Source organism: Homo sapiens, chromosome 11 (assembly GCF_000001405.40).
Source record: "Homo sapiens chromosome 11, GRCh38.p14 Primary Assembly".
Taxonomy (NCBI): domain Eukaryota; kingdom Metazoa; phylum Chordata; class Mammalia; order Primates; family Hominidae; genus Homo; species Homo sapiens.
Window position 1 is genome coordinate 8,739,224 of NC_000011.10, and position 15,223 is coordinate 8,754,446.

General features: G+C 44.8%; 1 protein-coding gene across 24 annotated transcripts in view; it reads right to left on the reverse strand.

The window, feature by feature from the left end:
• DENND2B (DENN domain containing 2B) overlaps nt 1-15,223 on the reverse strand; it is a 217,600-nt gene that overhangs the window by 45,872 nt on the left and 156,505 nt on the right. For 20 of the 24 annotated variants that reach the window (NR_164822.1, NR_164816.1, NR_164815.1 and 17 more), the window contains one exon: nt 11,398-11,502. The exons of the other annotated variants lie outside the window; for them this stretch is intronic. Coding sequence is in view for 11 of the 20 variants with exons in the window: in NM_005418.4 (NP_005409.3) it covers nt 11,398-11,477 (80 nt within the window). In the remaining 9 variants the exon portion in view is untranslated. The remainder of the gene's footprint in view (nt 1-11,397; nt 11,503-15,223) is intronic. 24 annotated transcript variants of the gene reach the window in all.

The following is a 15,223-nucleotide window of genomic DNA, read 5'->3' on the forward strand; positions in this document are numbered from 1 at the left end:
ACAGAGAAAGGTACACGAAGCACTCGGTGCAGCCCAGTATCGCCGTCAGCCCCCGAAGCCCTCTCCCACTAGGCACGAAAGCTACACACTGGCTGGGTCCTGGTCCCATCACTTTCTGGGTGTGCTCATGGGCAAGCCCTCTAAGTTCTCTGTGCCTCAGGTTCTTTAAACACAGACAACACTTACTCTGAGTGTCCTCACACACCAGCTGTGTGGCTAAGATGACGCAAATCTCTAACAGTGTTTGAACACTATAAATCATTCCATAAAGGTAAAATAAATAATTTTTAAAAGTAAATACAAAGCAGCCATCAGACACCCAAGACTGCTCTTATCATCTCTCTGTTATTCTACAATCCCAGAGTATGCCCCTGGGAGGCAGACACTGTAGAACTGGGCACTTGTGCCGTGGCCTTGTCAGCAGGCAGCCAGTTCTGCTGCTCAACACAGGCATGGATGCCAACACTGCAGCATGCAACTGGCCAAAACCAACATTTTAAGGAGAGATGAAGTAAGATGAACAGATAAAAGAAAGCAGGGGAGAATGCAAAGGACATTTAAAAGAAACAGAGCACCATAAATGCACACACACACACAAATATGTAAGACACATAATTAGGATGGAAAGAATATGAGCTAAGGTATGGAAAGAGAAATAAATTTAAAGAAAAAGTATTGTGGGCCAGACATGGTGGCTCATGCCTCTAATTCCAACAATTTGAGAGGCCAAGGTGGGAAGATCACTTGAGCCCAGGAGTTGGAGACCAGCCTAGGCAACATGGTAAAACTCTATCTCTACAAAAAAAAAATTTAAAAATTAGCTGGGTGTGATGGCATGCCCCCGTGGTCCCAGCTACTCAAGAGGCTGAGGCAGGAGGATCCTTGAGCCCAGGAGGTCAAGGCTACAGTGAGCCATGGTTACACCATGGCACTCTAGCCTGGGCAACAAAGTGAGATCCTGTCTCAAAAATTAAAAAAAAAAAAAAAAGAAACAAGAAAAGAAAAAGCATCATGTGTATGTGTGCGCATGCACATAGACAGAAAGTGAGAGTTAAAGTGCATAATAAATATTCCCTCTGGCACTGTCTCACAGGAACACGCCCCAATCCCTGGGCTAGTGACACAGGCCCCTCTTCAGTAACACAGGCCCCTCTTCAGTAACACAAGAAGCATTTGTGCTAAGGAATGCCTCATATATTGTCAGGTGCCCCGAGGAACTTTTCTGGAGGGAAGGCTGTCTTTAGTCCTTGATGAACTTGGCATGCTCCAAGTTGCTCTGCTTTTTCTGGTTATAGGGCTACTACAAGTGTTAGTAACAAGAAGGGACTAAGCTGGAGCTAGTTGGGAAAAAGTCCTAGTAGTCCTGGAAACAGCCTGAGAGGTACCATGAGTGCCATGAGTGTTATGAGTGCCATGAAGTGAGCCTGTCTGCAGGTGAAGGTTATACAGGGCTCAGTGTCCAAAATGCTTCCATCCCTACTAAGCAATGTCTAGCCTGCTTCAAATGAAACTGCCTGGAAGGTGGCCGGCCATTCAGCATTCTCGGGCTTCTCTACTAAGGGCCCTGTTGGCTTGGTGGCATCACCATCCTCCTGCCACTCAGTGACTGCCCCAATTCTGGGGATGGCATTCTCACTGCGCTACCCTAAAGCCATACTCTTGAGCGTGGAGGAGAAAAAGGAGGAAGAGTGCCTCAGTCAGCAAGTCCAAGAGTTTGTTCCCCAGCCTAGAGCAGAAACTTGCCCAGTAACAAGACATAGACATCCCATTCCAGAAAAGTCCTGAGAAAAAGCCAAAGGACAGGGTGATACTCACAACTTGGCTTTCTTGCTCCCAAAGCAAGCATCTCAAACAGTTGTGAGCCCTCAACAGGGTCCAGGGCAGCCTCAGCCCCCAACTGGGGCTATATCTAGGCCACCATCTATAGAGATTTTCCAGGTCCCTACAGCTTGTCAGAGTTACGTGAAAGGTAGTGAGAGTCACAGCATAAATTGAGTTGCCTTTTCAATTCCAGAAAGCACATCTAAGAATCTATGGAAGCCACACCTGTCTGCCCCCAAGCTGATTTCTAAGGAAGCACCAAGTGGACCGCTGAGCTCTTCTCCGGGAGGGAATGATGAACTCTCTAAGGAGCAGTGGCAAGTGAACACAGAGAGAATACTGACACTGCAGAAGCCCCCTCTGAGGTTACTGATCCCTGACAGGAACATCCCCAGTGCCCTAGTCCAGTAAAGACTGGGCTGCTGTATAAAGCAGAGCCAGGCATTAGACAAAGCCAAGAGGGAGGCAAATCCGATTCCAGGAAACCATGCCAATGGCACTTGTGGTAGTTTTAAAACGTGGTCCCCAAATTCTTTGACATGCCTCCAGTCAAAATAACCCCTCCTCTTAAATCTGGGCTCTGTTACTGCTTGATTGATAGCATACAATACAAGTGATGTGGTGCTACTTTTCAGGCCCAGGCCTAAAAAAATCAGCAGCTCCTAATTCCTGTCTACCATGCTAGGAGCAAGCCCAGGCCACGTGGAAAGGGTACATGTAGGTGTTCTGGCTGCCAGTCCCAGGTAAAGCCCCAGCAACAGCTAGAATCCCCCAGACGTGGGGTTAAGACATCTCCAGGTGATACCAGCCCCTAGCTACTGAGCCCCACCACAAGCCTTGAAGTCTTTTACTTTTTTCTTTTTGAGAGACAGTGTCTCACTCTGTTGCCAGGCTGCAGTGCAGTGGCAAGATCTCAGCTCACTGAAGCCTGGAATTCTTGGGCTCAAGCGAGCCTCCCGCCTCAGCCTCGTGAGTAGCTGGGAGCACAGGTGCATTCCAGCACACTGGGCTAATTTTATTATTATTACTAGTTTTTGTAGAGACAGGGTCTTGCTATGTTGCCCAGCCTGGTCTTGAACTCCTGGGCTCAAGTGATCCTTATGCCTCAGCCTCCCAAAGTGCTGGGATTACAAGCGTGAGCCACTGCGCCCAGCCAGCCTTGAAGTCTTTTTAGCCAAGGCAGACATCATGGAGCAGGGGCAAGCCATCCCTGCAGTGCTCTGTCTGAATTCCTAATCCATGGAGTCTGGGAGCATAAGAACATGTTGTTTTATGCCATTAAATTTTTTTTTTGAGGTGGGTGGTTGGCAGTAGATGTCTGGAATATATTTTGGCGCCTGCAAGAGAGGTGCTACTGAAACAAAATCTTAAAACAGTGACTTTTGGGCTGTCAGTAGGGGCATAAAGGAGAGTAAGGAAATGCTATTAGAAGCTAGAAAAGAAGGAACCCTTATAGTGTTGAAAAGCTTGTCAGCTGTGGTAACATAGATAATAGGAAATACAGCTAATAAATCTGATGAACTACCTAAGGAGATTTGCAGGCAAAGTGCTGAAGGTGCCATCTGACTTGCTCTAGCTGCCTACAGTAAAAAAGAGAAAAGAGGTAAACTAAGAAGGAGCTGTTTCGTTGTTAAAATTTAAAGGAATCACAAATGAGAAAGGGCTTGCTGGTTTTCACTTCCAGTACCTCTAGGCAGGAAAACATTCTCAAATTAAGAAATGGCTTCCAGATTGTGGTGGCTGGGCACGGTGGCTCACGCCTGTAATCCCAGCACTTTGGGAGGCTGAGATGGGCGGATCACCTGAGGTCAGGAGTTTGAGACCAGCCTGACCAACATGGAGAAACCCTGTCTCTACTAAAAATACAAAATTAGCCAGGCATGGTGGTGCATGGCTGTAATCCCAGCTACTTGGGAGGCTGAGGCAGGAGAATCACTTGAACCCGGGAGGCGGAGGTTGCAGTGAGATGAGATCGCGCCATTGCGCTCCAGCCTGGGCAACAAGAGCGAAACTCCATCTCAGAAAAAGAAAAGAAGAGAAATGGCTTCCAGATTGTGGTGATGGTTTTATTGAGTATGTGTGTGTGTGTGAGTGTGTGTGTGAAAACTCAAACTGTATACTTTAAATTATATAATTTATTGTACTTTAATTGTCCCTCAATAAATCTGTTTAAAAAAAATCTAAAGTGAGACTGAAAAACCCTTTGTTAAGCCCCCAAAAACTGGCCAGGTACGGTGGCTCATGCCTATAATTCCAGCACTTTGGGAGGCTGAGGCGGGTGGATCACCTGAGGTCAGGAGTTTGAGACCAGCCTGGTCAACATGGCAAAACCCCGTCTCTACTAAAAATGCAAAAATTAGCCAGATGTAGTGGCTTATGCCTGTAATCCCAGCTACTTGGGAGGCTGAGGCAGGAGAATCACTTGAACCTGGTTGGCAGAGGCTGCAGTGAGCCGAGATCACACCACTGCACTCCAGCCTGGGTGACAGAGTGAGACCCTGTCTCAAAAAAAAAAATTTTTTTTTTAAATTACTTAAAGTGTTGCCTCATAGAACAGACAGACAGACAAAAGGCCTCCTAAGAATCTTATGAGTGGGTCCTGTAAATCCTCTCTGAAGACAGTAAGGCTCCTAAGAATCTTAAAAACCTTTGTCCCATAGCAATCTCCCAAGAAATCCAAATCGAAGTGGAGAGGGGCTTATCTCTTCCTTTTTTTTTTTTTCTTTGAAACAAAGTCTGGCCCCCAGGCTGGAGTGTAGTGGCTCCATCATGGCTCACTGCAGCCTTGACCTCCCAGGCTCAAGCGATCCTCCCACCTCAGCCTCCAGAGGAGCTGGGACTACAGGTATGCACTACCATGCCTGATTAATTTTTTTTTTGTAGAGATGGGGGCGGGGTCTCACTATGTCGCCCAGGCTGGTATCGAACTCCTGAGTGCAAGCAATCCTCCCACCTCAGCCTCCCAAAGTGCTTGCATTACAGGTATGAGCTACTGCACCTGGCCAAGGGGCTTATCTTGAAGTGATTTGTATGTGTGCCTTTTGCTATTATAATGGATTATAAAATGATTCATAAGAAACCCATGAAGTTTTTTTTTTTTTTTTGGGGGACAGAGTTTTGCTCTTGTTGCCCAGGCTGGAGTGCAATGGCGTGATCTCGGCTCACCACAACCTCCGCCTCCTGGGTTCAAGGGATTCTCCTGCCTCAGGCTCCCAAGTAGCTGGGATTACAGGTGTGCACCACCATGCCCGGCTAATTTTTGTATTTTTAGTAGAGATGGGGTTTCTCCATGTTGGTCAGGCTGGTCTCGAACTCCTGATCTCAGGTGATCCACCCGCCTCGGCCTCCCAAAGTGCTGGGATTACAGGCATCAGCCACCGCACCCAGCCAACCCATGAAGTTTTTAAAGGAAATGTATCAGCTTGGAGTAAAAAGAGCAGAGATAGTACAAAATGAAGAAAAGACTTTGGGCCCTTAACATATTATGGGCATGAAGCAGATGGAGAAACTACTCACCTGCAATAATGAGCTACTTCTATGGAAAAGAAAAGATGAGTCAGAGAGCAGAACCAAAAGCCCAGAGGGTGCAGCTAGAGACAAGGTAAATGAGTCAACACCTAGTCAAAGAATTAGCAACAGCTGTCCCACTGAATATAAGAAATACATCAAACCAGTGACTGCTGGGTACCTCTTATTTTCCCCTTTTTGAAAAGAAGCCTATTCAGTGGTTACCCTAAGCCTGTCCCACCAGTGTCTTTTGGGTAGCAGATATACATTCTCTTTAAGTTACAGGTCTTCACAGCAAGAGAAACAGTACTTAAGGAGCTGCACACAAGGAATGAACCTGCGCCCCAAAAGTCTCATCTACATCCAGACCTGATTTTTTTTTTTTTTTAAGACAGGGTTTCAGTCTATGCCCAAGCTGAAGTGCAGTACAATCTTGGCTCACTGCTACCTCCATCTCCCAGGCTCAAGAATCCTCCTGCCTTAGCTTCTAGAGGAGCTGGGGCTACAGGCATGCACCACCACACCCAGCCAACTTTTTTATTTTTGGTAGAGAGGGGGTTTCACTATGTTGTTGCCCAGGCTGGTCTTGAATTCCCAGGCTCAAGTGATCCTCCCACCCCAATCTCCAGAGTAGCTGGGACTACAGGTGTGCACCACCACATCCAGCTAATTTTTGTACTTTTTGTAGAGATGGGTTTTTTCCATGTTGCCCAGGCTGGTCTCAAACTCCTGGGCTCAAGCGATCTGCCTGCCTCAGCCTCCCCAAGTGCTGGCATTAGAGGCATGAGCCACCGCACCCGGCCCTATCTGTACCTGATTTTGGTGACAAGATTCCATTGTAATAGACTTCAAGCTGATGCCATGAATAAGAGAAGACCTGAGATTTTAGGGGAGAGAGTGAGTGTATTTTGCATCTGGGAAAGATGTGAATTGTTGCAATCAGAGGGCAGACTGTATTTTCCAAAGACAGGAACCACAACCTATCCCATTCCACATACCTTCTTATAAAGAGATGTTGAGATTCCTCTCAGCAGGTGGTGGAAATTATCTTCCTTTCTCTTGAACTTGGGCAGCCCTTTGTTACTGTCTTAATCAATACAGCACAATAGAAGACAAACTATCTGACTTTTGAGGCTAGCTCATTAAAATGCCACGCATTTTTGCCTTGTTCTCTTGGGATTCTTACTCTTGGAACCCAGATATCATGCTATGAAGGCATGCTGCCAAGTGTGGAGGTGACGTGCAGGTGTTCCCTAGCTTTAGTCCCAACTGACCGCCAGCATCAACTGTCATACATGTAAGCCTTCAGATGATTTCAGCCCCTAGCCATTGAGTCACCCATAACTTTCAAGCTACCCCCAGCTGATGCTGCAAGGAACAGACACAAGCTTTCCTTGCTGAGCCCTACCCAAATTGCAATTGGTGGGCAAAATAAATATTATTCTAAGCCACTAAGTTTGGGGTCATTTGTTATGTAGCAATAAATAACCAGACCAGTACTGACAGCATCATGGTTGGATTCTAGGAAGCATCTCGAGTAACAGGGGCTGAGGCCACAGGGCCTCCTAAGGGGGGCCTGCCACGGCCAGGACAGGCCCTGCAGCACTATCTTTTACCCACAGCTACTCAGGAGATTTTTCTTCTCTTTAGGCTCTTAGCTTCCCCCGATCTAAGGCACAGGGTCCAAATCTGTGCCTACATTGGCCATGGAACCTCAAGACATCTCTGGATTTCACTGTATCACAAACTGAGGCCACCCTCTGCATAAAAACCTGCAAATATGAGTTGAAATTAGGGCTCCACTGCCAATTAGCTGTGTGGGCTTACAGGTTCCTCATTTGTAATGTAAGTTACTGAGCCAGATATATCTCAAGATCCCTTCCAACTCTAACATCCCAACAGAGAATGTATCGGGCCTCCAAAGAGTTCCAGCTGAGTAGGGGAAATAAGACCCACACAAATATCCACTTTATGAGATACTATATGATAAGTGCCATTTGGCCGTTTTGAACCAAAGATTCTGAGTGAATGCAGAGGAGGGAGGGATTTGTCTTAGTTGGGTGGTCAAGAAAAACACTGGGAGAGAAGTGAATAATTGTATCCAGATTGGCAGAAATGTAAGGTTTGCATTAGAGAACAGTGAACTATTAGGGCAGAAAGAAAGACCAGGGCCAGATCATGAAAAGCCCTGCAAACCAGGCTAAGTTTGACTTTATCATGGATAGCAGTACTTTGGGGGCAGGAAGATCCCAGGAGTGCTCATAGGAAGGGAATGTGTTGGGATAATAAAATAACAGAAGGATGAAGAGAGGCAGGCTTGAGTACCTCTTCCTACTAGTTTTGTATCCTTAAGGAGTACCTCCTCTTTTCTGTGCCTCAGTTTCCCAATCTGTAAATCAAATGGGTTGGACTGAATGAGCTACAAAGCCCCCTTTCAGCTCTACCTTTCTAAGAAACTACAGACTAGATGAAAACAGAGTCCAAAGCTAAGATGACCCATTAGGAAGGTACTATAAGGACTCAAGTAGTACAACAGCCTATGCTCTAAGAGGCTGCTCTCCCATCTATCTAGTTGACTAATCAACAAATAGCTAATGGCTTCTACGTGCCAGGCATTGTTCCAGGCTCTAGGCACACAGAAAGACATCAAAGTCCTTGCCCTCAAGAATTATATATTCTCACACACTCAGATTTTCAGCACCCACCACAAGCAAAAGTTCTCAAACTCAAGGCTGATACAGTCTGTTATTTCCAAGTTGCAATGACCCAGGTGCTGGAGTTTCATAGTGAAGAAGCTGTGGAGGAAATCAGCAGGTCTTCAGAGAAGAGCCCCTGCTGCCTGCCAGGTCTTACTGCAAAAGTGAAATCTCCTGAGAGCAGTAAGTGGCAAAGTTCACCCTATCTACACAGCTGAATTAGCTCTAAACATAATACTTCCTTTTTTGCAAGTTACCAACCTGCTTCCAGTCCCACCCCAGGTCATCAACACCAACACAGTAAAGGCTGACCTCTAGAATTCAGAAGAGGTTTGAGAATCCCACCCCAGACCCCCAGAGTGGGATGCAGCCATATCTTGTGAGCTGAAATGGGAACAGCCTGTGGGGAGAGTGTATCTGGCAGGTAAGGATGAACAGTATGCTCATTCGGCCTCATCAACAAAAGCGAAGACAAGGAAACCTGCTCCAGGAGACCAAGATACAGCAAAGAACAAAACTGAGGCAGTCACATGAAAGGCTTAGATTTTCCCCTCCTACACATTCCTGCCAAATCAAGACTAAGCTGCAAAGGAAAAGGAAGGGAATAAATTAGCAACACACCTGTGAAAACCTAGGGACTGGAATCCAGGGTCTTTAACCCAGACAGGCTTGGTGGTAGCACCAGGTGAAGTCTTACACAAATTAAGGGTACAGTCCTTCAAATACACACCTTGACAGTTACACAGGGTCCCATCTGCCCACCCCCGCCAGTTTTCCTTGACCAGACCTCCCTCTTCCACCAAAGCTGGATACAAATGCGTCTTAGAACCACTGGGTTCCTCTGCCTTCATGTGGATGATGTGGAAGTCCCCGACGTAGCCAAAGTGTCAAAGGCCCAGCTTTCCAAGGCCCCAACACCCTCCCCTCCCCAACTAAAGCTCTGGTCACACCGAGGAGTCTCCTCCTTGGATTCATGTGCTGGCAATGATAAAAGGGCCCCAGGTCACTACCAAACACCTATTGAAAGGTCAAACTAAGAAACTCAGGTGCCAAGATCATCAATCCAAGTTGTAAATACCTTGGAGAAAGAGAATGGATCATCCCTCTTTGCCCTCCAGTGCCCAGCACAGAGCCTGGCACCCAGGAGAACCCTCTGAGTTCACCGACAATGCCTTCCTAAATGAACTGGTGATTTACTGCCTTAGCCCAAAGAACACACCCAGATGTGGCCAGGGGTGAAGGCAGCCAAAGAAACCACCAGATCACAATGTCTAAATAATACCTACACCCCAGGGGTAGTCTCTGAGAGAAGGGTGTCACTAGCCACAGAGGCCTGCAACTTCACACCAAAAGCCAGGCTCCCAGGAAAGAAAGGGGGGAGGGAAGGAAGGAGAGAAGCGGAAATGTGGTAGGAAGGAAGAGAAGACTTAGAAGGGAGGCAGGAAAGGTGCTTTTTTTAGGCACATCTGAGGCTCAGATATTTACAAACACCATCTAGCATGTTATGATGGCAAGCATGCTGAGAAGCTAAAGGAAGAGCAATTTCTGAAAACACTTAGAAGTAAGTAGGCATTTACTCCAAATAGAAACTGCAGCACCTGTCAGCAGTCTCGAGTCTGCTTTGAAACTTGATGTAAATACTGCCCCTCCCACCCCTCTACCCCATTCCTGTATGGTGGAAATTAGAAGGAAAAAAAAAGAATATTTAAAGGAGTTGAGGGTTGCTGGGAATGGTAATCTCCATTTCAGGTCCTAAATATACAATTTCTTTAAAATTACAAATAAAATGACACAATCACATATATTTGTTTCACTCCTACAGTAGTGTGATATTCTAAAAAACTGGAACCTTAGTTTTCAGCCCCATCTGCCAGCTCAATCATGGTAAGAATGCCACTAGGCTGACAAGAGCCCAACAACATGGTTCCCAGGAGCAGGCAATGGGAGATAAAGACTCTGAGACCTTGACTTGTTTCTACCTTGGACACCAACATGTTCTGGAGGAGGTCAGTTTCTCCACCTGCTTTGCCCAAGAAGCTGTTCCTTGCCACTCCCAGCCTCACTCAGTACAGGGAAGCTGGTATGCCACCAAGCCCAGTCTAAATGAGAGGGATTGCCTGGGCAAGGGGTGTTCCTATCAGTCTTGCTGCTGCAAGTGGATAGTCAGTTTGCTTGGCTAAGTCCCAGGATCTTACGTACTTAACAAGTCAGAGTCCATCAAACCCTGTTTGGCATAGTCCATCCAGACTGTTTCTATTGGGACAAAGTCCTGTATGTATGGTGTGGGGAACCCCTGCCTCCTTCATGACAGTCACTCCCCAGGGGCTACATCCCGTGCACTATTCTACCAACTATATCTGGACTCCAGTTCTGAATGAACCAAATGTTTACCACCAACTCTGACCAGACCCTATTGGACTCAGCCTAGCACTGCACAGCCAGATATCCAGGAATGAACTAGCCCTATCCAAACCAAAGCTAAGCATCCTTCTCATAGCTATCCATCTTAGAGGCAGAGGCCCCAAAAGCCAAATTTGTCCACCTGACATTCAGCAGAAAGGGCTATGAGAGGTACACAGCTTTAATAAAAAAGACTAAAGGTTCTTTTAAGATATCAGTGTCCAGCCTTGGCCAAGACCAGAGAAGCCCTGGTGAGAGTACTGTGCATCTATCTGTGCATCTGTGAGTTCTGGAAGCTTTGATCTCATCCTCAAAAGGGGGTTAAAATTTATTGAGTAGCTTTATGTCAGCCATAATGCTAAGCACTGACATATATTATCTCATTTAGTCCTCAGAGAAACTCTGTAAGATAACTACTATTATTATTTTATAGATGAAATAATGAAGATTTTATAGGGCACAGGGAAACGTTCTGAGAGCTCGCTATTTGGTAAGTGGTTAGAACCTGGATTTGAACCAAATCCATGATTCCAAAATCCACGGTTTCTCTAAACTCCTATAAAGCCTAGGCTGCTGCTTGGAGTTTGTGCTAATATGCGTAACTGCCTCTCTACCCTTAGCCCAATGTGGTCAGCCTCCCTCACTACAGTGCAGCTTAGCTCAGGCACAGGCCCCAAGCTCTCCCCACCATGGGAAAAGGTTACAAGCCAGAAGAACATCAGCTGCTTCTTGCTGGCCCCATCCTTAGAATGCTAGACACAAAGCAAGGCTTGTTTTAGGGTTACTGTTTGCTATATCACATAGAAACTTACAGAACTAGAAAATATCTTCTGCCTAATGGTCAGCATGAGCTGGCCTAGACCAGTCACCTGGATGACTGTCAGTCAAGATGATGACTATTTACATTTTGGAGGGATCCCACCCAGGACCTAGGTCCCTTGATGCCACCTCCCACAAGTGCTCCCTTACCCACCTGCTCAGAGTCCCCCGAGGGGCTTTAGTGCCACCAGCTCCGTGGGTGATGCTGGAATTCTTGTTGGCAGTCATGGTCATTTCGGCTCTCTGCAAACCCAGAGCCCTGCAAAGACGACAATGCCGGTAAGCCAAGTTTCTATAGGCAGCCAAAAGCACCTTGAACATCTTCCAGATGACCTCCAAAAGTGCCAAGAGGGTGTCTGTGGCAGGTAGTAGAAACTGCTTTCCCACTTAATGTTTAACTCCATGTGTTACAGCTTAAGAGACCCCAAGAAACCCCTGGCCTGGAATACGGAGGAGTGTGAGCTAATTTGATTGTGAGTGCACCAATCAGCACTCTGTGTCTAGCTCAAGGTTTGTGAACACACCAATCAGCACCCTATGTCTAGCTCAGGGTTTGTGGATGCACCAATCGGCACTCTGTATCTAGCTAATCTGCTGGGGACTTGGAGAATCTTTATGTCTAGCTAAGGGATTGTAAATACACCAATCAGCACTCTGCATCTAGCTCAAGGTTTGTAAACGCACCAATCAGCACTCTGTGTCTAGCTCAGGGTTTGTAAATACATCAGTCCACAGGCTGTATCTAGCTAATCTAGTGGGGAGGTGGAGAACTTTTCTGTCTAGCTCAGGGTTTGTAAATGCACCAATCAGCACCCTGTCAAAAAGGACCAATCAGCTCTCTGTAAAACAGACCAATCGACTCTCCGTAAAATGGACCAATCAGCATGATGTGGGTGGGGCCAGATAAGGGAATAAAAGCAGGCTGCCCAAGCCAGCAGTGGCAACCCACTCGGGTCCCCTTCCACACTGTGGAAGCTTTGTCCTTTCGCCCTGCAATAAATCTTGCTACTGCTCACTCTTTGGGTCCACACTGCCTTTATGAGCTGTAACACTCACTGCGAAGGTCTGCAGCTTCACTCCTGAGCCAGCGAGACCACGAACCTACCAGAAGGAAAAAACTCCGAACACATCCGAACATCAGAAGGAACAAACTACAGACATGCGGCCTTTAAGAACTGTAACACTCACTGCGAGGGTCCACGGCTTCATTCTTGAAGTCAGTGAGACCAAGAACCCACCAATTCCGGACACAATTTCACAGAAAACAAAATAAACAAAGAAGCCCAAGAAACTCCATCTCCATCCATCTCTCCTCATTCCTTAAGTTAGAGTTTCCTTAAACTTCTATCATTCTATACAGTCCATGGTTTTTGCCATATTTGCATATCTCCTGACATACTATTTATTCAATATTTTTCTTGAATATACTTGAAACTGACTTCCTTTTCTTAAAAAGAAAAAAGTCACCTCATTCTAAACAATAAACTATTCATTCAACAAATATTTACTGAGCACCCATGTCCACGGCAAATGTGATCCAGTGAAGAGTAATACAAAGTCTCTGACCTCATGCAGCTTACATCCCAGTGGGGAAAAACAGACAATGAGCACACATGAATTATCACGTGTGTGATAATAAGTGTACCTTCGTGTATAATATGTAAGGTGATGGTAAGTGGAATAAAAAAAAATTAAGCAAGGTTGAGCCGGGCGTGGTGGCTCACGCCTGTAATCCCAGCACTTTGGGAGGCCAAGGCAGGCAGTTCACTTGAGGTCAGGAGTTCAGACCAGCCTGGGCAACATGGTGAAACCCCTTCTCTACTAAAAATACAAAAATCAGCCAGGTGTGGTGGCAGGCAGCTGTAATCTCAGCTACTTGGGAGGCTGAGGCAGGAGAATTGCTTGAACCTGGGAGGAGGAGGTTGCAGTGAGCCAAGATTGCACCACTGCACTCCAGCCTGGGTGACAGGGCAAGATTCTGTCTCAAAAAAAAAAGAGAGAAAAAAACTTAAGCAAGGTAGAGGGAAAGAGAGTGGTGAAGAGGGTATCTTATTTTAAATAAGATGTTCAGGGAAAACCATTACGATAAAGTAACATTTGAGTACACATCATGAAATTGAGAGCTAGAAGTGCTCATCATTTTTTCTAATACCCATTAAAATAAAAGTAATATACATTAAGGTATTTAAATATTTAAAAGTAAAAAATGTCTGTTCATGTACCATATATTCTTAGCTAATATATCACCATGGTAAATGCACTACCCTTTCAGGAACACTATTTTATGCCAAGTAATAAAAGGAATATGAAGATTAAAATTTAAGGGTACATTTGGGTTGGAAAGAAGGAAGTAAAATTATTTCCATTTGCAAATGGCATGATTTTGTATGTAGAAAATCCTAAGGATTCCACTAAAAAACCTATTAAACTGCTGAGTGACTTCAAGTAAATGTGCAGGATACAAAATCAATATTAAAGATCAATTTTGGGCCAGGTGTGGTGGCTCACACTTGTAATTCCAGCACTTTGGGAAGCCAAGGCAGGCAGATCCCTTGAGCCCAGGAGTTCAAGACCAGCCTGGCCAACATGGCAAAACCCCATCTCTACTAAAGATACAAAAATTAGCCAAGTGTGGTGGTGCATGCCTGTAATCCCAGTTACTCAGGAGGCTGAGGCATGAAAGTAACTTGAACCTGGGAGGCAGAGGTTGCAGCAAGCCAAGATTGCACCACTGCACTCCAGCCTGGGTAACAGAGCAAGACTCTGCCTCCAAAAAGAAAAAAAAATCAATTTTATTTCTATATACTAACAACGAACAATCTGAAAATGAAATTAAGAAAATAATTCTATTAACAATAGCAGCAAAAATAATAAATCACTTAGAAATAAATAAAAGGAATGCAAGACATGTATACTGTAAATTATAAAACATCATTGAAAGAAATTAGACATAAAAAATGAAAAGACATACCATATTCATGGATCAGAAAATTTAATATTGTTAAGATGGCAATTCTCCCTAAATTGATTTACAGACTCAACAGAATACCCATCAAAATGCCAGCTAGCTTCTTTTCAGAAATTGACAAGCTGATCCTAAAATTTTATGGAAATGCAAGGGATACAGGACAGCCAAAACAATCTTGAAAAAGATGAACAAAGTTAGAAGACTCTGAGTTGCCAATTAAAAAAAAATACTAAAAAGTAACCAAGACAGTGCAGTACTGACATAAGAACAGAAACAGAGATCAACACAACAGAATCCAGAGTCCAGAAATAATCCCTTACATTTATGGTCAACAGATTTTCAATAAGGATGCCAAGACAATTCATGGGGAAAGAAGAGTCTTTTCAACAAACTGTGCTGAGAAAACTGGATATCCATATACAAAAGAATAAAGTAGGGCCCCACCTCATACCATATTTAAAAATAAAGTAAAAAATGTAGTATAGCCCTAAATGTAAGAGCTACAATTACAAAAGCAACGCTGGAAGAAAACAGAAGTAAATCTTTATGACATTGGATTAGGCAATGGTTTCTTAGATATAACACCAAAAGCGCGCACACACACACACACACACACACACACACACACAAAGGACATGAATTGTACTATGTCAAAGAAAAGAACTTTTGTGCTGTAAGCAATACCATCAAGAAAGTGAAAAGACAGCCTAAATAATGGGAGAAATTTTTTGCAAATCATGTATCTCCTAAGAAAATTGTATCCAGAATATATAAAGAATTCTTTCAACTCAATAATAAAAAAGTAACCCAATTAAAAATTAGACAAAGGATTTGGAACAGAAATTCTCCAAAGGTATAAACTTGGCCAATAAGCATACGAAACAATGCTCAATATCATTAGTCATTAGGGAAATACAAATCAAAACCACATGAGATATTACTTCACATCCACTAGGATTTCTATAACAAAAAAAGACAGATAAAAACAAATGCTAGTGAGACTGTAGAGAAA